This window comes from Homo sapiens, chromosome 17, assembly GCF_000001405.40.
Source record: "Homo sapiens chromosome 17, GRCh38.p14 Primary Assembly".
Taxonomy (NCBI): Eukaryota; Metazoa; Chordata; class Mammalia; order Primates; family Hominidae; genus Homo; species Homo sapiens.
In genome coordinates, this window is record NC_000017.11 from 16,109,843 (window position 1) to 16,134,046 (window position 24,204).

Below are 24,204 nucleotides of genomic sequence, written 5' to 3' on the forward strand. Positions count from 1 at the left end.
TCTGCCTCAGCCTCCCGAATAGTTGGAATTACAAGCACCCGCCACCAGGCCCAGCTAATTTTCATGTTTTTAGTAGAGACGGGGTTTCACCATCTTGGCCAGGCTGGTCTTGAACTCCTGACCTCGTGATCCACCCGCTTTGGCCTCCCAAAGTGCTGGGATTACAGGCGTGAGCCACCGCACCCAGCCAATACCACTCAATTTCTTTTACTATAAAAAAGCACAAATTCAGCTAAGCATAGGAGCTCATGTCTATAATCCCAGCACTTTGGGAGACTGAGGTGGGAGGATCACTTGAACTCAGGAGTTTGAGATTAGCCTGCGCAACAAAGTTGGACACCTGTCCCTACAAAAAATAAAAAAATTAGCTCTGTGTGCTGGTGCTCTCCTGTAGTCCCAGTTACACAGTAGACTGAGCCAGGGAGATCGCTTGAGCCCAAAAGGCTGAATCTGCAGTGAGCTGTGATCATGCCACTGCACTCCAGGCTGGGTGACAGTGAGACTCGTTCAAAAAAAAAACAAAAAACAAAAAAACAAAAATTTTTTTTAATTCCTTTTTAAAAAAAATTGTATGCTCCCTTCTGCAAAGTATGTTTATGCAAAATTGCTCATTCTTCTACTGGGGTCGCATATACGTAAGAGTACATGTGTACACATTTAACTATAAGACGTTAGCTATTTACATTATATTTATAACTTCATGTTACTAAATAGAAGGCTTAATATCTTCTGTGTTTGCAGACCCAGGGTTCTGGAAGTCCCAGCCCTGATGGTCCTCTGTCTTGTGCCCCTTACAGAGCCTACGTTTCACCTCATATGAGCTGTCAGCCTCTCCCAGTGAGACTCCTCAGAAGAGGAAAATATACTACTGCCCTGTTAAAAATTACCCGTACATCTACTCAACATTCTCATGCGGATGATATTTAGGATCCAACTAAAATATTAATTAACTCAAGAGAAACAATCATTTTCTAATATCAGAGTCACAGAATTAGTTGCAATTCTCAAGGCTAATATTTCTAAGTTCATAGCAGGAATGCAAGAGAATCCCAGAGACACACTGGCTACACTTTCTAAAAAGCTTTCAGAAGATTCTGTAAATTTTCAAGGATAATAACTACTTTTAATTTATTTGTTTGTTTTTGAATATGAGGTGTTGCTGTGTTGCCCAGACTGGTCTGGAACATCTGGCCTCAAGCAATCCAGGTGTGACCTACCATGCCCAGCAGATAAATTATTATATGGATTTTTCCAGAGCCCAGTGTATGTCCCTCTCTCACCACTATCAACCCATTCTGTTTGGTCCTTTCACTAGTAACTAGGGAAGAGACAACTTTTTACCCTACTACAACATCCCTCTGTTCACATGCAATAATTCACTACGTTGCCAAGCATTTTCTTCAATATATGATAGTATTCACTAATTCTTAATGTAAAGTCAAATATATAGAAACACAGGCCAGGCGCAGTGGCTCATGGCCAGACCCAGTGGCTCAGACCTGTAATCCCAGCACACTGGGAGGCCAAGGCGGGCAGATAACTTGAGGCCAGGAGTTCAAGACCAGCCTGGCCAACATGGTGAAACCCCGTCTCTACTAAAAATACAAACATTAGTCAGGCATGGTGGTGTGTGCCTGTAATCCCAGCTACTTGGGACACTGAGGCAGGAGTATCGCTTGAGCCCAGGAGGCAGAGGTTGCAGTGAGCCAAGATCAAGCCACTGCACTCCAGCCTTGGTGACAGAGCGAAACTCCATCTCAAAAAATAAAATTAAATAAAAATTAAAATTAAAAAAAAAAAGAAGACATTCTGCCAGGAAAACTGCCTTTGGGGTCCAACTGCAACTCTTCCCAGAATCTCCAATCAACCAGCCTACTCCATTAGACACTGGACTCACCAACCCTCCACAATCACAGGAGCCAGTTCCTTAAATCTCAATCTTTCTTTCTATATATATGCATACACACATCCTGTTAACTGTGTTTCTGAGGAGGACCATGACTAATATAACATACATTTATTTATTTATTTTTATTTTTATTTTTCAGACGGAGTCTTGCACTGTCACCCAGGCTGGAGTGCAGTGGCGCCATCTCGGCTCACTGCAAGCTCCGGCTCCCGGGTTCAGGCCATTCTCCTGCCTCAGCCTCCCGAGTAGCTGGGACTACAGGTGCCCGCCACCATGCCCGGCTAATTTTTTGTACTTTTAGTAGAGAAGGGGTTTCACCATGTTAGCCAGGATGGTCTCAATCTCCTGACCTAATGATCCACCCACCTTGACGTCCCAAAGTGCTGAGATTACAGGCGTGAGTCCCCACACCCAGCCAACATTTATATTTTAAATACATATCTGACTCATTTTTTACTTCACTTTTTCTCAAAACATTTTGGATGTTACCTCCTGAAGTCAAGTCTTTATCTTGTCAGTAGACTTTTTCATGTTTTGGTTGCTACAGCATATTTTTAACTCTCACATTCTTATTATTAACCTAAAGGCCGCTTTGTATACACACTTTTAAATCAGTCAATGTTATACTTTGTATACTCTTAATAAATTCAAATCTTATTAGCTTTACTATCACACTTTAATAATTCTCAAATTTTTTGGTCTAAGGATGCAACACTCTTAAAAAGTATTAAAGGCCGCAGAGAACTTTTCTTTTTTTTCTTTTGAGACGGAGTCTCACTCTGTCGCCCGGCTGGAGTACAGTGGCGCGATCTCAGCTCACTGCAACCTCCGCCTCCCAGGTTCAAGTGATTCTACTGGCCTCCCGAGTAGCTGGGATTAAAGGTGCACACCATCACACCCAGCTAATTTTTGTATTTTTAGTAGAGACAGGGTTTCACCACGTTGGCCAGGATGGTCTTGATCTCTTGAACTCGTGATCTGCCCGCCTCGGCCTCCCAACGTGCTGGGATTAAAGGCGTGAGCCACTGCACCTGGCCAAAGAGCTTTTCTTTATGGGAGAAATATAGACAGCCAGATAGACACTTACTATATCAGAAACTAAAACTAAGAAAACTTCAAAATTTTAAATTATTAAAAACAATATAAACTCATAAATTATTATTTATTTATTTATTTTGAGATGGAATCTCGCTCTGTCGCCTAGGCTGGAGTGCAGTGGTGCGATCTCGGCTCACTGCAAGCTCTGCCTCCTGGGTTCACACCATTCTCCTGCCTCAGCCTCCCCAATGGCTGGGACTACAGGCACCCACCACCATGGCCGGCTAACATTTTTTTCTGTATTTTTAGTAGAGACGGGGTTTCACCATGTTAGCCAGGATGGTCTCGATCTCCTGACCTTGTGTTCTGCCCTCCTCAGCCTCCCAAAGTGCTGGGATTACAGGCATAAGCCACCGCGCCTGGCCAAGAATTTATTTTTTTAATGAAAAGTAACCATTTTCCAAAAAAAAAAAAATGACTTACTAAAACAGTGGCACAACCTTCCCCTTTTGGAAATCTCTTCCATGTCTGATCTAACAGAGACAGCACAATTCTCAAGGTGCTTCCACATATGATCTAATCTGTGGATTACATTAAGTAATCTAATGTTTTGGTTGAAGTATAAGAAAACAATGTAGCCTCACACAGATATGTCGTTGGAAAAGGGAAGAATATTTTAACAGATTTTTCAGATACTTATGCATACTATTTTTTGATACTGTACCAAAACTCACCAAGTGTCACTTCTTATTTGTTAGTTACAATATGAAATCTTATACCATATCAAGGAACCCTTCATACTCTGTTAAAATCTATAATCTGGCCAGGCGCGGTGGCTCACGCCTGTAATCCCAGTACTTTGGAAGGCTGAGGCAGGCAGATCACTTGAGGCCAGGAGCTGAAGACCAGCCTGACCAACATGGTGAAACCCCATCTCTACTAAAAATACAAAAATTAGCTGGGCATAGCGGCGTGCGCCTGTAATCCCAGCTGCTAAGGAGGCTGAGGCAGGAGAATTGCTTGAACCTGGGAGGCGGAGGTTGCAGTAAGCCAAGATCATGCCACTGCACTCCAGCCTGGGCAACAGGGTGAGACTCCATCTCAAAAAAAAAGAAAAAAGAAAAAAATCTGTAACCTATCTTACGTTTGGTATATTAAAAAAACATTATCAATCTTTTATCAATGCATGATCCATTATGTATTAGTTCATTTTCACGCTGCTGATAAAGACATACTTGAGACTGGGAAGTAAAAGAGGTTTAATGGACTTACAGTTCCACATGGCTGGGGAGGCTTCACAATCATGGCAAAAGGGAAGGAGGAGCAAGTAACGTCTTACATGATGGCGGCAGGCAAAAAAAAAAAAAAAAAAAAAAAAAACTTGTGCAGGGGAACTCCTCTTTCTAAAACCAGTAGATCTCCTAAGACTTATTCACTATCACAAAAATAGCATGAGAAAGACCTGCCCCATGATTCAATTATCTCCCACTGGGTCCCTCCCACAACACATGGGAACTGTGGGACCTACAATTCAAGATGAGATTTGGGTGGGGACACAGCCATACCATATCATTCTGCCGCTGGCCCCTCCCACATCTCATGTCTTCACATTTCAAAACCAATCATGCCTTCCCAACAGTCCTCCAAAGTCTTCACTAATTTCAGCATTAACCCAAAAGTCCATAGCCCAAAGTCTCATCTGAGACAAGGCAAGTCCCTTCCCCTATGAGCCTGTGAAAGCAGAAGCAAGTTAGTTACTTCCTAGATACAATGGGGGCACAGGTATTGGGTAAATACAGCTGTTCCAAGTGGGAGAAACTGGCCAAACGAAAGGGGCTATAGGGTCTATCCAAGTCCAAAATCCAGCAGGGCAGTCAAACCTTAAAGCTCCAAAATGATCTCCTTTGACTCCATGTCTCACGTCCAGGTCGTGCTGATGCAAGAGGTGGGTTCCCACGGTCTTGGGCAGCTCCAATCCTGTGGCTTTGCAGGGAACAGCCTCCTTCCTGGCTGTTTTCACAGGGTAGCGTTGAGTGTCTGCGGCTTTTCCAGGCACACAGTGCAAACTGTAGGTGGATCTACCATTCTGGAGGATGGTGGCCCTCTTCTTACAGCTCCATTAGGCAGTGCACTAGTAGGGAGTCTGACCCCCCATTTCCCTTCTGCACTGCCCTAGCAGAGGTCCTCCATGAGAGCCCCACCCCTGTAGCAAACTTCTGCTTGAACATCCAGGCGTTTCCATACATCCTCTGAAATCTAGGCAGAGGTTCCCAAACCTCAATTCTTGACTTCTATGTACCCACAGGCTCAACACCATATGGAAGCTGCAAAGGCTTGGGGCTTGCACCCTCTGAAGCCACGGCCCAAGCTGTACCTTGGCCCCTTTCAGCCATGGCCAGAGCTGCTGGGGTGCAGAGCACCAAGTCCCTGGGCTGCAAACAGCAAGGGGGTCCTGGGTCCAGGGCATGAAATCATTTTTTCCTCCTCAGCCTCCAGGCCTATGATGGAAAGGGCTGCCATAAAGACCTCTGACATGCTGTGAAGAAATTTTCCCCATTGTCTTGGAACTTAATATTCAGCTCCTCATTACTTATGCAAATTCCTGCAGCAGGCTTGAATTCCTCTTCAGAAAATGGGATTTTCTTTTCTATCACGTTGTTAGGCTGCAAATTTTCCAAACTTTTATGCTCTGCTTCCCTCATAAAACTGAATGCCTTTAACAGCACCCAAGTCACCTCTAGAATGCTTTGCTGCTTAGAAATGTCTTCCGCCAGATAACCTAAATTATCTCTCTCAAGTTCAAAGTTCTGCAAATCTCTAGGGCAGGGGCAAAATGCTGCCAGTCTCTTTGCTAAAACATAAGAAGACTCACCTTTGCTCCAATTCCCAACAAGTTCCTCATTTCCATCTGAGATCACCTCAGCCTGGACCTTATTGTTCATATCACTATCAGCAGTTTTGTCAAAGCCATTCAACAAGTCTCTAGGAAGCTCCAAACATTTCCACATTTTCCTGTCTTCTTCTGAGCCCTCCAAACTGTTGCAACCTCTGCCTGTTACCCAGTTCCAAAGTCGCCTCCATATTTTCAGGTATCTTTTCACCAACACCCTACTCTACCAGTACCAATTTATTGTATTAGTCCGTTTTCACGCTGCTTATAAAGACATACCCAAGACTGGGAAGAAAAAGAGGCTTAAAGGGCTTACAGTTCCACATGACTGGGGAGGCCTCACAATCATGGCAGAAAGCAAGGAGGAGCAAGTAACATCTTGCATGGATGGGGCAGGCAAAAAAAGAGAGCTTGTGCGGGGAAATTCCTCTTTATAAAACCATCAGATCTTGTGAGACTTATTCACTATCACGAGAATAGCATGAGAAAAAGGCCTGCCCCATGATTCAATTATCTCCCACTGAGTCCCTCCCATGACACATGGTAATTGTAGGAGTTACAATTAAAGATGAGACTTGGGTGGCAACAAAGCCAAACCATATCACATTATAACATCATGAAATGGCCATTTGGAAAGTAGAGTTAAAGCAAGTTTTTCAAATTTGGATACATTTCATCACACAGTAACAACTATCGCATTTGCTATTATTACCACTGATCTCATCAGAAAATCTGTAATGAGAAGGTGTGAAGCTCATGGTTAGAGAAACATATTTTCCAAAATTCTCATTTTTTGCTTGAAAACTCAAAATTTTAAAGTGGCAACAAACACTATCAGTTATTTTATTTCAAAGACAGCCTCATTCACTAATTTTCAAGAAAATGTCTCCCAAAATCCCAGTCTGAAAACATAGTTTGTCTGTCATTCTTTCAATCTAAAATGACATTCCATGAAAAAGGGGAGGCTGGTGCAACTTAGAACTCGAACAATTGCCAAAGTGCTTTTCCCTGAGAGAACCATCATATTTTGGTATAGAGCAGAACTTTATGTTTACTTCCCATTACATGACACGAAGTATAAAAAGACATACTCAATGGGTGAGATTTAATAAAATTAACTTTTACTGCGTCATCAAGGACATTCTTAAGTGACATTTTAAGAAAAAACTGCAAATGCTCAGCGATGAAAAATACATTGAGTACTAGCACCGTTTGGTTCCCTGCCAAGATTTATGCTTAGGCATCAGCAATTTTATCTACCACAGCTTTGACACCATAAATGCAAATGTCATATACTGAAAAAAAGTAAATAACATTTGATTGATATTTTTATGAAAACAGTCTTGACCTCATGGAATCATCAAAAAGCTCTATGGTCTTTGACAACCACTACACTGGAACTTACTTATTAAGGAATTTCCAATAATGTTATACTCTCTGGTTTTTAATATTTATACCATGGAATCTTCTCTCTGAAAAAATGTCTAATATACCAAATCAATTCACTCGATATTATCAACAGACCTCCAACTAAAGTTTTCAATTCAATCTCCAAAAAGTTTGTATTTTTCAAATCCAGCCTACAGTAATTCAAGAGTATTTAATTCCCTTTACTACAAATAGAAACTTCGGAGGAGGAAAGATAAGCTGGGGCAGGTCATGATGGGCCTTGTTTGGACTGTTAGGAATACAAATAGAAACTTTACTCCTTGAGCAATAAATAGAGAAACAGCTAGCCTATACTAAAAATTTAGCATACCTTTTACATATAAGTGCAATAAATAAAAATATAAGATACAAAAAGGTTTCTCTTAAAACCAATCTCTGGAGCTCAGAAAAAAAAAAAAAAAAAAAACATCAAGGCTAGATGCAGTGGCTCACACCTGTAATCCCAGCACTTTGGGAGGCTGAGACAGGTGGATCACCTGAGGTCTGGAGTTCGAGACCAGCCTGGCCAACATGGTGAAACACTGTCTCTACTAAAACTACAAAAATTAGCCAGGCATGGTGGCGGGCGCCTGTAGTCCCAGCTACTCGGGAGGCTGAGGCAGGAAATTGCTTGAATCCGGGAGGAAGAGTTTGCAGTGAGCCAAGATTGCACTGCTGCACTCTAGCCTGGGTGATAGAGTGAGACTCCATCTCAAACAACAACAACAACACTCTAAGTAAAAAACAGTAAGTAAAGAGTCACCACCCCAATATACTCACTTTCTGTTTATGCTGCTGTAAGAGGTTGTCAAGATTGTGTCGCCTTTTATAGTTAAAATAGAAGTTTTTACATTGAGCTTCACTTTTCGTTCCCACCATTTTAGCAATTGCTGCCCAGTTACGACCATGTTCTACTAGACCTGCATTTTAAAAACAGACCAAATGTTAATTGAACAGTCACCTGATCAAGCAAACAAGAGAAATAATAAATTAACTTAATCACTGTATTCACAACCATTGACACTAGAAGTGTGCTTTCAATTACTTATCATATATACTTTGATACTTATAAAAATACTTATTGAAACAAAACTCATTTACAGTTCTATATTTTTCCCCCTCAAATTTAAAACATGCTCATTAACAGAAGGGCTAAACCTTGTCCTTCCTATGTATCTCTCACAGGGCTAGGACAACATTAGACACATTAGTAATAGCTCAAATACTTGCAAACTAAATGATTAGGTACATCTAGATCTCTGGACACAATATATCAAGCCAATAAGATAATCATATATAAATGATAAACACAATTTAAAGACATATATATGACTCCACTTATAATCCATATTTGTCCTCAGTCAATTCACAATCAAGCAATGCCATCAGAAAAATACTAGCCAATTTAAAAAAATCCTATGGTAATACAATGCATTACAGAAACCTATGCAATTTAACACTTCTCTAATCAATATATATATGCACACACATAAACACACACATACGTGCAAAGAATATGTATCTATGCATTTGTATACATATATAAGGGGTGATACAAAAAAATATGAAATGTGTCACTCAAATGTCAAGCTATTTACAATAATTTATCTTTACAACTGCAAGGTAAATATTTAACCACCAAAAATTAGCTAATCTTTCTCAATATTACCAATTATTTATCCTATTAGAAATTTTAGTTCAATTTCAAATTATAGTACATTAACAAGCAACGACAGAAAAGCACAAAGTCCATAAAGTGCCAGAGTAAGAGGAAGGCCACAAAGCTATGAAAGTGGCAGAGACAGGACTCAAACCTTCGCTGGCCTGGTTACAAACTTCATGCTCTTTCCTCTGAATCACAGAGCAATCTGCTAGTGGTTTATAATTACATGACTTACCAAATGCAAACTGACAAAAGTATTTACCATCCTATCCTATTAAATACAACTTTTAGGTAATAGAAATATAGACTTTATATCAACATTCATTCCAGAACAATTTCAATAGCATAGAGTCATAATTATTCTAAAAAAGTGAAAACGACCTACTTGTTCTTTAATTAAATGACATTCAAAATAAAACTGCAGAGAGAATCTTAAATCCCTTAAAACTGGGCATCTTAAACAAGGCACACTGGGGGTACTTTATTGGGTACCATACTACCAGAAAAGAACTCTTAAAGTCACTTCTGAGTCCTCTTTGCCTTTTTGAAAGAATTTTTTTTCCAATTAAAACAATTAGTTCCATCTCACTCATTACTAATAACCCTAAAAAACAAAACAAAAACCTGAGAAACCAGAACTACTACAATTTACCTTTTTTAGCAACTTCCATTTCTTCTTCTGTCCATCGAGAGGTCTCCACAGGCTCTGTAGAAACTAAAATAAAGAGAGAACCCAATCAGGCAGAGAAAAACAAAGTTAAATCCTTTATTCAAACCAATCATATAATTATATCTCTTTATCTGACATAAAAGACTATGTAAAAGCATTTGGTGAAAGAAACTGCAGAAATAGGATAGTAACCTCTCCTCCACCAAACTAGAAGAAACAAGTCAACACTTCAATATTATGATCTTTTTCAGTGTTGTTAAAAGTTCTCTTCATGTCTACATTTTTAAACATTTTGTTTTTTTCTGGAGAAGTCCTACCTCACCCAGTAGCTTCCCACTTAGTGATCTCCACCTCTCCTCTCCTGCAGTGTCAAAGGAAGAAGCAACCCTCCTCCTTCCTGTCCAAGCACAATTCCCTCTCCTCTCCTCTGAGCCTCCATCTTGTCCTAAAACTCCTGGAGCCCCTTTAGTTCATCCCCGAGTGTCTGACATCCAGTGGGTAAAGATGGATCATGAACTGAATATGTTCTCTTTTGCTTCAGGAAAAAAACAAAACAAAACAAAACAAAACCTGAGAACATCAGGCCTGATATGAGCTCCTGCCATATTCCCTTTCTCAATTTATAGTACCAGCATTCACCCAGTCACTCAAGTTACCAATAGGCTCCTTAGACTGATAGACTAATTTTTGAATCTTGCCTCCCATTTACCACTCACATCCAATGACATGCATCAACTCTGAATCCATCCCCTCCTTGCTTGGGCCACTGCATACATGCTGGGCCCTCTGCCTCCAGCCTTTATTCTGTCTAAACTGACCTCCACAATTGCTATCAGTTAACTTCCAAAGACACAAATCTAATCACAGCATTCCTCTATTTAAAAACCTCTGCAAGTTCCCCACTTCATAATCAAAGCAAAATACATTTCAAACAAGGCCCATCATGACCTGCCCCAACCTATCTTTCCTCCTCCTATCTAGTTAGTGCCCCTATCTCATTCTTGCCATTCCCTAAACTGCATTTTCTTTCATACTTCAGTAACAATGATACCTCTGAATCATTAACAGTGGTACTCTATCATTAATCTAGCCTTTTTATAAACTAATGAGACAATACTTAATGAGAGAGAGAAAGATGCTTTGACTATTAGATCCAGTATTCCCTTGCCTAAGAATTTATTCCATGACAAATAATTTAACATAAAATACTATGTGAATAAAGATTTTTTTATTACAGTGCTATATACATTGGTTTAAAAGCAGGGAAGAGGGCAGACAACCTAATCATTCAGCAATAAGAGAATGGTTAAAGAAGTCATGCCTCAATATTACACAGCCATTAAAAAATAAAAATGGTAATTATTAGAAATTAGAAAATATTTATGGCACACTAGCATAACAACTAAATAAAAAACAGCTATATTGGGGTGGCAAGACTGGGTGATGTTCTTTTTCAAAAAACTTTGACATTAAAGTTTAAAAAATTTAAAGACCACACTTCAGGATTATTTCTAGGTTGTCAATATTAAAAGTCCTTTCTACCCTATCCTAGCAGTGAAACAGAATCCCGAACAAAATTATGGCCTGTTTATGCCAATTGTTTCCACTCACTGGGTTCTGGTGGCGGTGGCAGAGGTGGTGGGGGCTCTTCAGTAGCCGCTGCGGCTGCAGCACTGGCAGCTGCAGCTTCGTTTGTCATGGACCTGGTGATCCGGCCCTTACGGCGGCCCTGACTGTTGGCAGTCTTTCGCCCCCGGGGTGTGGCTTGCTCTCTTTCCTCAGTTTCTTCTGCTGTACCATCTATCTTGTCCTTTTCCTTGGTATTTTCTCTGGACACAAAAGCAAATGAAAACTTGTGTGATTCCAAAGTATACATACATCGAAGAAGGTTTTAGTTTTGAATATTATCTAAATAGAAATTGAATAAAACTACCTAATCTCTCACTCAAAAAAAAAAAATTATCAACAATTCTGCCATACCATAGTTTTTAAAAGTTTTGACCAGCTAAAATTAAGATATTTTATAAGACCTATTTTACATACTAATGGACTTAAAATTTAAACACATTTCAAACCAACTGATTTAGAAACCAGAACTACTCCATGAGAAAGTAACAAATGACAGCAGAAAAGCCCTAGACCTGCAATCCAGAGACAACAGCCTACACCAAAAGGCAGGAATTCTGGGGTTTTATTTGCCTTTAGTCTAGGTTGCCTCATGTATGAAATGAAGAAGCTAAAATAGATGATCTTCATGATAGATGCCTTTTCTATAGTAATAATCCACAATATTGTTTTACAGTAATAATCTACAATATTGTTTTATAAAATCAGACTCAATACTCTAAATCATGTCTGATACTAATTATGTACAAATTGGGCAGTAATGGTTAATACTTAGGAAACGGCCTCTGGAGCCAGGCTGCCTGGGTTTGTACCACAGTTGTGATTTACTAGCCATGTGATGACCCTGGACAAGCTGCCTCACCCCCATGGGCCTCAGTTTCCTCATCTGTACAATGAGAAAAAGTTTATTTCATGGGACTGTTGCCAGGACTGAAGGAGTTAAATAAAGTACCCAGAACAGTGCCTGGAACACAGTCAGCATCAAGTAACAGTTTGCTATTATTCAAGCTAAAACTCCCTCAGGATATAAAGTGCTTACCATCGTCTCAGGCATGTAGAAACATGGTGGTTCCTATTAATAGCAACAGTACTACATGTAATACTGGAAGACCATTTTCTGTACTACTTACCTCCCATGGTTGTTATATTTAAGGAAACGTACTCAATGTACATTTTTGCAAATGAATGGATAGATGGCAATACTCAAAGACTCAATTATTCTTGCTTAATGGAAGATGCTGATTTTTTTCAAAAATAATTCTCTCCCCTTCAGTCCTAAATTGAAGTACAACATAGTCCTTTCCCTTTACTTACTTATTCCCTTATAAAGCTGGCTTCTATTCTGAAGCCTCCTGTTAAAAGATGTTTTCTCAAAAGTCACCAATGACTTGCAAACTGCAAAATCAAATGACCTCTTCTCAATTTTCCCCGCAAGTCTTTCTGTTACAACTGACGCTGCAGTTAATTCTTCTTTTTATATCACTTGAAACTCAGCTTTTGAAATATCCCTGCTGCTACTCTGGCTTTCCTTCAAGGGACAGACCTTTCTCCTCTCATCCTTTCTTTTGGGTTTCTGTTTTTTGTCTTTGAGAAAGTGTCTCACTCCGTCACCCAGGCTGAAGAGCAGTGGCGCGAACACAGCTCACTGCAGCCTCAATCTCTTGGGCTCAAGTGAGCCTCCCACCTCAGCTTCTCGAGTAGCTGGGACTACAGACACGTGCCAGCATACCTGGTTAATTTTTGTATTTTTTGCAGAGACAGGGTGTCACCATGTTGCCCAGGGTAGTCATGAATTCCTGTGCTAAAGCAATTCTCCCACCTTGGCTGGGATTACAGGAATGAGCCACTGTGCTGGGTTCCTCTCATCCCTTTCATACGGGGATTTCCCAAGGCTCTCCCCTAGAGCCTTAGAGCTATGTAAGGTTACCCATTCTCATAAGTTCTACCGGGAGGACTCCAATCTCTATCTTTGGACTCACACCCCAACTCCAAAGACTCAGGCTTATCTTCCCAACTACCTGCTGGAACGGCCACCTGGATTTTCCATCAATAGAAACTGAACATATCCAAAATCATATTCATCCTCACCTCTGCTCCTTGCTCCACGTCACTCTCTAATCATTTGTTGTTAACATTCCTACCATGTTCATCATCATTCAGGTTTACAGATTTGATATCATCCTTTGCTGTCTCCCTCTTCCCATACTTCCTACATGTGATCTAATGCCAAGTTTTGGTTATTTCATCTCAGAAATGCCTCTCTCACTAATTTTACCATCTCTATTTCTACTACCACTACACTTACTCAACACCTTAGTACCCCAATCCTGGCCTTTCATACTGGCCTCCCTGATTCATATCTCTAGTCTATTCATTTTATCTTGCCAATGAATCAACATTCTAGCAGGATAGCTTTGGCAATAAACCACTCCATCCATTCTAATCCCTTTCTAACTATTCCCAGACAGACACACAGCACAGCCTCCTGAATGAAGTCTACCATTTTTGGCTTTCATTAAAGCTCTACATAATTTAATTCCAATCCACCTTCCACTTCTCTTCTTGATGCACACTATGTTAAGTCTAATGAAATCATTATCTTCCACTAGCTATTCATGTGATTCCCTCTACCCTACCCACATTAACCACTAGCATCTGCTAATGTCCTCCAAATTATCCACAGAGAAGTAGCCTCGACCTCTTCTTAATCTGCCAAAGCACTTAACTGGTCGTCTGTTGACTTCTTACTGCCAGGCTTTTATTTCTTAAAGTAATACTTGTACTTTACCTACTTTTCCCCTACTAAATCATGAACTACCTGGGAATAGTATACATCTTACGTATTTTCACATTCTCCCTAAGACCTAGCTCACATAGATAATAAATAAAAGCTTGTTAAATAGTTTAGAAATTTTAACAAAAAAATAAAATCAAGTTATGACAGAGTTCCATGTGAGAAGAACCACTGGCTACATGGCCCAAAAAATGTTTAACCCAAACTAAAAGAAAAAAATATATTCCCTTAGAGGTATCTTCCTCAGGTATAAAATTACAATGAGAAGAATATCTGTCTCTTTTAAAACATGGCAAGTGACTAGCTACTTTAGCTTCCACAAAACTAGGTAAATCTTAAACAGTTCCACAAGGACTATAGATATAACATAATAAATATTAAAAAGGAACAAACTACTGATACATTCAACAACCTAAGTGAATCTCAAAGGCATTCATGCTAAGTAAAAGAAGCCATACATACTGTATGATTTCAATTTTTATGTAATTCTAGAGAAAGCAAAAAAGATACATGACGGCCAGAGGCTGGAAATGAGGAAAGAGAAACTGACTGCAAAGGAGCATATGGGAACCGTTTGGGGTGATGGAAACATTCTACATCACAATTGTGATAATAGTTACACAAGTGCATATGCTTGTCAAAACACATCAATGTACACATTTCAAACTGGTGAATTTTGTTCCATGTAATTTACAAAGCTAGTTCTTGGGGAAAAAAACAACCAAACCAACTGTCATGCCCCCACTCCTACCACACCCCTGTATGTCCACAAAAGCATCAACAATAACTCCCTGAGTGGCAGAATCATAGGTTAATTTTCACTATATTTTTCTTTTCCTGTTTTTCTATAATGTAATTTTATAACTAAGAAAACAGCAGTAACAACAAACAAACCCAAAACTCCATTTTATATGACGAAGTCAATAAAGCTGGAATCTAAAATATAAAAATGAACTCTTCCTGTCTTAGCATTTTTATACTAATATATACTACCTGAGGCTCAAAAACAGAACCTGAGGAATCTTCCAAATCAAAAATTAAATTACATTCAATATATCCTGGAGGAAAGTATATATTACTATAACCCATCCCTTCTGAAAAGTAATAATAACTCATGACTTGCAAATAAGTTCATTAAGTCAAAAATTACATTTACTGTAATATTCTATTCCTTAATCACATCAACTTAATCATGTAACTATTAGATGTTTCTAAAATTTCGGCCAGGCGTGGTGGCTCACGCCTGTAATCCCAACACTTTGGGAGGCTGAGGCAGCTGGACCACCTGAGGTCAGGAGTTCAAGATCAGCCTGGGCAACATGGTGAAACCCCATCTCTACTAAAAACACAAAATTAGCCGGGCGTGGTGACGCGTGCCTGTAATCCTACCTACTTGGGAGGCCGAGGCACAAGAATCACTTGAACTTGGGAGGCAGAGGTTGCAGTGAGCCAAGATTGCGCCACTGCACTCCAGCCTGGGCAACAGACTGAGGCTCTGTCTCGAAAATAAATAAATAAAATAAAATTTCAGCAGATTAAATTTCATTATTTAAAAATTACTAGGCTGGGCGCAGTGGCTCACGTCTATAATCCCAGCACTTTGGGAGGCCAAGGCAGATGGATCACGAGGTCAGGAGATGGAGACCATCCTGGCTAACAGTGAAACCCCATCTCTACTAAAAATACAAAAAATTAGCTGGGCATGGTGGCAGATGCCTGTAGGCCCAGCTACTCGGGAGGCTGAGGCAGGAGAATGGCGTGAACCTGGGAAGTGGAGCTTGCAGTGAGCCGAGATCATGCCACTGCACTCCAGCCTGGGCAACAGAGCGAGACGCCATCACAAAAAAAAAAAAAAAAAAAAACTATACTTTTGCAGCAACATGGATCAAACTAACGGCTATCATCTTAAGTGAAATAACTCAGAAACAGAAGGTCAACTATCACATGTTCTCACTTATAAGTGGGAGCTAAATAATGTGGACACATGGATATAGAGAGTGGAATAAGAGACACTAGAGATTCAAACAGGTGAGAGGGTGCGAGGGGGTGGGTGAGGTATAATGGGTATAATGTACACTATTTGGGCGATGGTACACTAAAAGCACAGACTTCACTACTATGCAATATATCCATGTGACAACTGTACTCCCTATATCTACAAAAATAAAAATAAAATAAAAATAAACATTTAACTTATTATATAACTAATTATTTAACTCACTTGGAGTCTTCTTTTTCATCTTTTTCCTCTTCATCTTTCTTTTCTTCTTCTTTTTTTTCTGTTTTTTCTGCTTTATCCTCTTCTTTTTCTTCTACTTTTTCTTCTTGCGAGGGTCGAGCAATTTGCTGCTAGAATGAACCATCATTTGTAAAATTCAAAGGCAAACAGAAATAGCTCCTTATAGTGTGATAAATTATGTCTATCTAAAAAAATTTTAAATGATTGTTAGTCATTTACAATGTAACTGGTGATCGTGTGTTAAAAACCAGTCTAGAGGTTTTTAATGTATTCTATATGTACTGCTTGAAGGGTCCTACACGCAGACACAAATGCTCATAGCATTTGGACCCACGAGAAAGTGAAAATGTTAAGATTCTACTCGGAAATCTGGGGTTGGTTCCCTTTTTTGGCAACCTCCACATTTAATCTGTCACTCAAGCATTCCAATTCTACCTTAAAATTTGATAACCCATACATAATTTATCATGTTTTAGATACTTAATATGTTTCCAATTTTTTCATCACTATCTATAATGCTATAAGAAACATCTTCATGCATTTATACTTTTGAGCGAAAGTCTACTTAATGGAATATGTAAACAGCTATGGTCGTTACTAAGACTGAAGTAATTTGGAAAAATACTAAAGCTATAATAAGGTGAAAAGAAGTAAAATGCTTAAATATTTCTAAGCTAAGCAGTCACACTAGGAATCCTTTTATCTCTGATGTCTCATTTGCAAAACCTGTGACTCTAAAAGAAAAAAGTGAAACTAAGTGTGCAATGAATGCTACTACAGTAGCCCCCACCATATCAGGAGTTTCTCTTTCTGTGGTTTCAGTTACCTGGAGTCAACTGCAGTATGAAAATGGGTAAGTGTAGTAGCGTACAGTATGATATTTGAAAAAAGACCACACTCATGTAACTTCTATTACAGTATATTGCTATAACTCTATTTTATTATTTGTTACTGTTAATTCCTTACTGTGCCTAATATACAAATCAAAGTTTATCATAGGTGTGTGTGTGTATATGTATATATCTGTATGTATATATACATGTATGTATATATCTGTATGTATATATACATGTATGTATATATCTGTATGTATATATACATGTATGTATATATCTGTATGTATATATACATGTATGCATATATGTATGTATATATGTGTGTGTATATATGTATGTATATATACGTGTATATATGTATGTATGTATATATACATGTATGTATATATGTATGTATATATACATGTATGTATATATGTATGTATATATACATGTATGTATATATGTATGTATATATACATGTGTATATGTGTATGTATATATACATGTGTATATGTGTATGTATATATGTGTATATGTATATATACGTGTATGTGTATATATACACGTGTGTATATGTGCATGTATATACATATGTGTATATACACACGTGTATATATCTGCATGTATATATACACATGTGTATATATGTATGTATATATACATATGTGTATATATGTATGTATACATACATATGTGTATGTGTATATATACATATATGTATATATGTGTATGTGTATATATACATATATGTATATATGTGTATGTGTATATATACATATATGTATATATGTGTGTGTATATATACATATATGTGTATATATGTGTGGAGATATATATATATATCTCTCATAGTATATTAGGGTTCGGTACTATCTGTGGTTTCAAGCATCCACTGGGAGTGTTGGAACATATCCCCTGTGAATAAGGGGGAACTGCTTTATTTTGCTTTTAAGAGACAACATCTCACTCTGTCACCCAGGCTACAGTACAGTGGCATGATCATAGCTTACTGCAGCCTCAAACTCCCAGGCTCATGCAATCCTCCCACCTCAGTCTCTCAGGTAGCTGGGGCTACAGGTCTCAAACTCCTGACCTCAAGTGATTCTCCCACCTCAGTCTCCCGAATGCTGGGATTACATGCACGAGCCATTGTGACTGGCCTGCATTTTTATTTAATTCAGAAATCAAAACTGTATAACCAAATTAAAACAGAACTCCAACACATCTTTCCAGCACAGCAGGCTGGCCCTTGCACACCTCCCTCCAATCACCATCCTGCCACATCATCTTCGCTGTTCTGGACTCACCTAAACATGCCCAGCACTTGCATAGCTTTCTACCCTTCCCTTTCCTGATAAAGTCCCACATAGTCTCTACAATTCAGGTCAAAATGCTACATCTCCTGTGAAGCCTCTCTTGATTTCCACAGAGGAACTCTGGGGCCATGTCCTTCCCTCTCCACCACAGACCACACCTGCTTGTAGCACTGTCACTAGGTGGCTTAGTGCCTGCTTATCAGCATCCATCTGGCTCTCTGTGTTATCATCTCATCAAGAACAAGAATCCAATCTTACTTCTCTAAGCATCCCCAGCTCCCAGGAGAGTGTCTGGACCATGATGATAGGTGTATGCATATGTTGGATAAAACAAAAATCAAATTCCTTTATTCCAGTTATCTGAAAAGTTTTTACCCTCCAATCTCGACTGTTCATTCTGATCCAGGCTAATGTCAATCTTGCCTCATAGCAACTCTACCTGTCCTCTTACTTGTTTTTACCAGACAATATGGAAGTAACTAATTAATTTTAAGAAAAATTTCCCTTCTTAATAGCGCTCCAAAGTCTTTTACCTATTCATCAAAACCAACACTTAGCTTTTTCCTTAAGATAATGAAGGCCTTATTCACCTCCCCAAAAGAAGTCCCATCCACATTATGCCTCCTTCTAATCCAAGGGGCAAGGAAAGAAGAAAATGAATCCTTCTTGGTCCACTTCCAGAACATTGCTGAACTGTGATATTTTAAAAATAATTCCTTTTTCACGTTTCATAAAATCTCCCTAGATCAACATTCTCTTTTGGTGTTATGGAATGACTTCTTAAATATTCCCTAGAACATATAAGTGATTGCATCACATGGCTCATTATGCCTTGACATTATTTTTCAGATTTCAAAATGCATGTCAATGGCTTTTCTAACACTCGCCACTCAATCAACATAACATCTCACAGTTAAAATACTTTTAGGTCATGGCCATTAAACTCCCCACATGCAAAATCACAATTGCCTCCTCATTAGCAGTGGGCACTGCTTTGCCTCCTAGATCCTAAAATCAGAAAGTCTTCTCTCCAACTACAACCACCCATCGCACACCTTCATTGTGTCTGATCCTGCTTTGTCCTCATTGTGACCTTTGAACCCTTATTCTATCAAATTTTCACAGTCCAGTGAGAACTGTACCTACTATTCTACTTGCTAAAGCATTTCAATACCATGATTCCTTCACTTGCTTTATCTGACCTTCCTAACTTCTCACCCTGGCTAACTGCCAGTTCCTCTTTCTTCTGGATATTTATTGCTAGAGAAAACTGATAAACTAGGGAGATTTTAAAATTTAAACTTTCAAACCATGAGTAGGTCTGCTTTATAATTGGGCAAGTTTTACTCAGCTCTGACTCCCTGGGACACTACAGTGGTCACAAGACCTGTTTAAATGCTAATAACCTAACCCTGTAACCAATGTAGCATCCATGTGTCACTCTGAACCAGTAAGATGGCATAGTAAGGACAAATCATGCCCTTTGCCTAGCAAGTGAGCTGTGTAACCCAGAAAACGGTTTATGGCCTAAAGATACGACGGGGACATGTCAACTCAGCAGAACGTAAGGAAAGAAATTCAGTATCCCCTTAGAGTTGGGTAACACATGCTAATCTTATTTCCCCAATACTTTTCTGCTTCTAATGCCAATCAGAGCTTCAAAGTAATCCCACGCATTCCCTGCTGTCTAAAATCCAACCAACAGATAACTTCACTCCCCTTTCCCTGGTGCTAGGGAATAAGAAACAACTGCAGCACCTGCTTAAACCAATCAGTGTAAAGAAGGAAACAGCTCCTGGCTCTGCATAGTGTGGAAATGATCCAAAGAAATGGACAGAGTTGCTGCATTAGAGTCTAGAGAAGTGTTTGGTACCTGTCCAGCAGAACCTCTCACCCCTCTGTATACTGACCAGGCAGTGGTGAGCGGAGAGGAAGTGCAGTCAGCAGCAACTGGAGGACCTCACCTTTGTGCAATATGCATAAAGACCTATCATAACAACTGCCACTGACATTCAAGAGAGTAAGGAATTACCTCTAATTTAAACAAGAGATGCTTGGAACTACTTTTGTTTCAGGCAAATCTGTAAAGAGAAGTGCCAGTCAATCCACATGGTCTAGGATGAAGGTTACAAGTTACATCCCTCAACTCCACAGGGTGGCTGGAGCAAAAGAGGTCCACCCCTTCAAAAGAAACCCTTCTAAAAGTTCCCTACACAGACACAAATATTCGCAATGGCTCGTTGTCCAGGTTTTTCCTTTTCTCCCCTTCTTTAAACTCAATACTTGAGAGCCAATAAAACAAGTTTAATTCTGTCAGGGAGTTAATATAACATGAAACATTTCTGTCAAATAACAAGCTATTCACTATGAATGAATATTCTAGAACACATATAAAACAAAATGAAAATTCAAAGAAAAAAGTAAAAGTTAAGTGTATTTCTTTTTATTTTTATTTTTATTTTCATTGTGAGACAGGGTCTTACTATGTCACCCAGGCTGGAGTACAGCGGCGCAATCTTGGCTCACTGCAACCTATGCCTCCCAGGCTCAAGCGATCCTCCCACCTCAGCCTCCTGAGTAGCTTGGACTACCAGCACACATCACCACACCTGGCTAATTTTTTTTTTGTATTTTTTGTAGAGATGAGGTTTCACCATGTTGCCCAGGCTGGTCTCAAATTCCTAGGCTCAAGTGATTTGCCCACCTCAGCCTCCCAAAGTGCTGGGACTTTAGGCATAAGCCACCGCACCTGGAATTTTTTTTTTTTTTTTTTAAGACTGGATCTCCTTCTGTCGCCCAGGCTGGAGTGCAGTGGCGTGATCACGGATCACTACAGCCTCAACTCCCAGGCTCAAGCGATGCTCCCACCTCAGCCTCCTGAATAGCTGGGATTACACTACAGTGCACGCCACTGTGCCAGGCTAATTTTTTAATTTTTTTGTAGAAAATCAAATTTTTCAGTTTTTTAACTTTTTGTATAAATTTTTAAAGTTTTTGTCCAGGCTGGTCTCAAACCTCCCAGGCTCAAGCAATCCTCCTCCCTCAGCCTCCCAAAGTGCTGGGATTACTAGTGTAAGCCACAATGCTTGACCTGGTAAGTGTATTTCAACATAATTTAAGAACAGGATTCAGTTTCATATGGGTCCCCTTTGGCAAGATCAAATAATAGTTTATGCTAAGATTCATTACTACTATATATAAATGAATATCTAACTATATATATGTGCTAATTATATTTGTTTTAAATGTTCACCTTTTTTAGAAAAGAGAAACAGACAAGTTCCCACTCAACAGAAAATAAGTTGCCAAAAAACGAAATTACTAAATTTAATAACAAGCAGCAATTGTAAATAAAAATTTACACGAGGAAGAAAATGAAATACCGTTTCACTACTGGACAATATTTTCTTTAAAAATATACTTCGGGAAATAAACAGACAATATCTTAAGCCTATCTTATCAAAATTTATTAACAATTAGTGCTCCTAAGCCAACTGAATTTCAGACTAACTTCCTGAAGAGTGAAAGCTGTCAATCACCAAAAAACACACTGTGGCAATGGCAATAAAGATAACAGTGGCTACCATTTATTGGGCACTCTCTGTGCCTGACTCTGCACTCCAGGGACTTTACACACATACCCAGTTCTTATTAACCATGCAACCTAAGTATCACTGACCCCACTCTCATGAATGTGGAAACCAAGGCTCACCAAGTGAAAGGACCCACCTAGAGTCACATAGGTACAATTGGGCAGAGCACTCTGGGGCTAGAGTTCTTGCTGATATAATAAACTTCTTAACTTGTCTAAAATAATCTTTCTATCTAGTGACTAGCTAACAGTTTAGTCAGAAAATTCCTCCAATTTCAAAATTGCTATATTTACCTAAGTATATGCTTCTGAATACCTTTAGGGAATAAAAACACACTGGCATAAAGGGGAAAATGGTGTTAGCATAAAAGAAGGGCATGAATTCCTGTGGAAAGTAATCAAGCATTTGGAAATGAAGAATATGGTTTCTAACATGACTTGCTTTACTGCAGGTAACTAGCAAGTACCACAGTAATTCTACCTGCACAGTGACAGACTTACCAGATGGCAGTTTATGTTGGAAAAATGCAGCATTTACTAGGGGAAGAAACTCTTACTGCTAGCAAGAACAATGTACATAGAATCAAACTATTACGTAGGGCATAATCCTAGATCCTAAATAATAACATTCAACAGTGGTTTTTGGCTTCCAATCTCCAATATGTATTCATTACTTCAACAAAAACATATAGAGAACCACACTCACTCTCCATGGAATGGTAACAAGCTGAACTATAAAAATGGGTTGGGGTAGTCTCTATCAGAATTTGGAGAGAAGAGTTAAAATTCCTGCCAAGAATAACCTCTGAACACAATTTTAACAAAAATATAAACATCTGTCTCATTTTCCTATGAGTCTAAGATTAAAACTCATTTTCAGAGTAAACACTACTAAGCTTCCCTATAGCAACAGGTTTTAAAAAATCAAACTTTGCAAACTTAGAATCTATCAATAGCAAACTACACTTTTTTTTTTTTTTTTTTCCTGAGATGGAGTCTTGCTCTGGGATTCTAGGCATGAGCCACCACGTCCAGTCTGGCTTTTCTTGCTTTCCTTCCTTCCTTTCCCTCCTTCCTTCCCTCCCTCCCTTCCTTCTTCTTCTTCTTTTTTCCCTCCCTCCCTTCCTTCCTTTTCTCTTTCTCTCTTCTTTCTTTTTTTTCCAGACGGGGTCTTGCTCTGTCACCCAGGTGGGAGTGCAGTGGCATGATCTAGGCTCGCTGCAACCTCTGCTTCCCAGGTTCAAGCGATTTTTCTACCTCAGCCTCCAGAATAGCTGAGATTATAGGTGTGCACCACCACTCCAGGCTAATTTTTGCATTTTCAATAGAGACAGGGTTTCAGCATGTTGCCCAGGCTGGTCTCGAATTCCTGACCTCAAGTGATCCACCCGCCCTGGACTCCCAAAGTGTTGAGATCACAAGCGTGAGCCATCGCACCCAGCCACACACTATACATTTATCTGCTGAATAAAAATTACTTCCTACAAAAAGGAGGCTGGGAGTAGAGGATAGGGAGAGTAATCAAACTCATATTGACAGGATCAAGCATAAACTTCAGCAGAACTTTAAAGAATCTTTAAGTAAACATGCCATAATGGCTGTGAGATCACCTGAGCTAAACCCTCCTGACTAGAGCTTGGTTACATAGCAGAGAAGTAAAGTGATTTTCAAATTAGTTGGATCTCTGTATCCACCAGGGTAAAATCAAGGGAGTTGATACATAGATTTTGAAAATCTTAACCTTGCAATTCAATTCTGTTTTTAAAAAGAAGTATTCTAACCTTTTTTCTATATAGCAAATTCTATATCTTTAACCCAGATCTTTTTCCTACACTCCAGACTTATATGTCTAACTATCCACTTTACTTGGACCTCATTTGGATCTCTGCTTAGACACCTAATAGGTATTTCATATTCAGCCATGTCCTGATTTTCCCCTCAAAACCTGCTCCTCCTTCAGTCATGCCTGTCACAGCAAATGGCAACTCCACAGGTCAAAACTTGTTTTCCTTGATTATTGTCCTTTCCTCATCCCCACAATCAATCCATCAGCAAAATCTCGTGGTTTTACCTTCAAAAGTACATCCAGAAACTAATCCGTTCTCCCCGCCTCCTCACTGTAGCCTAGTCCAAGTCAATGGGATTATTAAAACAACCTCCTAACTGGTTTCTCTGCTTCTTCTCTTGTCTCCTTACAAACTATTCTCAACAGAGCAACCAG

The 24,204-nt window shown here is 39.3% G+C and overlaps 1 protein-coding gene across 53 annotated transcripts in view, besides 1 other annotated feature; it reads right to left on the reverse strand.

Moving 5' to 3' along the window:
* NCOR1 (nuclear receptor corepressor 1) overlaps positions 1-24,204 on the reverse strand; it is a 186,378-nt gene that overhangs the window by 80,686 nt on the left and 81,488 nt on the right. For 31 of the 53 annotated variants that reach the window (XM_047437141.1, NM_001439116.1, NM_001439114.1 and 28 more), the window contains 4 exons: positions 16,240-16,367; positions 11,210-11,427; positions 9,581-9,643; positions 8,046-8,185 (listed from right to left, as the gene is read on the reverse strand). In XM_047437141.1, the coding sequence (XP_047293097.1) occupies positions 8,046-8,185; positions 9,581-9,643; positions 11,210-11,427; positions 16,240-16,367 (549 nt within the window). The remainder of the gene's footprint in view (positions 1-8,045; positions 8,186-9,580; positions 9,644-11,209; positions 11,428-16,239; positions 16,368-24,204) is intronic. The other 22 variants (NM_006311.4, XM_011524086.4, NM_001439115.1 and 19 more) reach the window with 1 other exon arrangement.
* Positions 3,784-3,981: a silencer, noted in NCBI's record as "fragment chr17:16016940-16017137 (GRCh37/hg19 assembly coordinates)". NCBI's record gives its function as "represses an EF-1alpha promoter that drives an FKBP-Casp9 reporter gene in an ReSE screen in K562 erythroleukemia cells {active_cell/tissue: K562}" and the evidence as "EXISTENCE:reporter gene assay evidence [ECO:0000049][PMID:32094911]".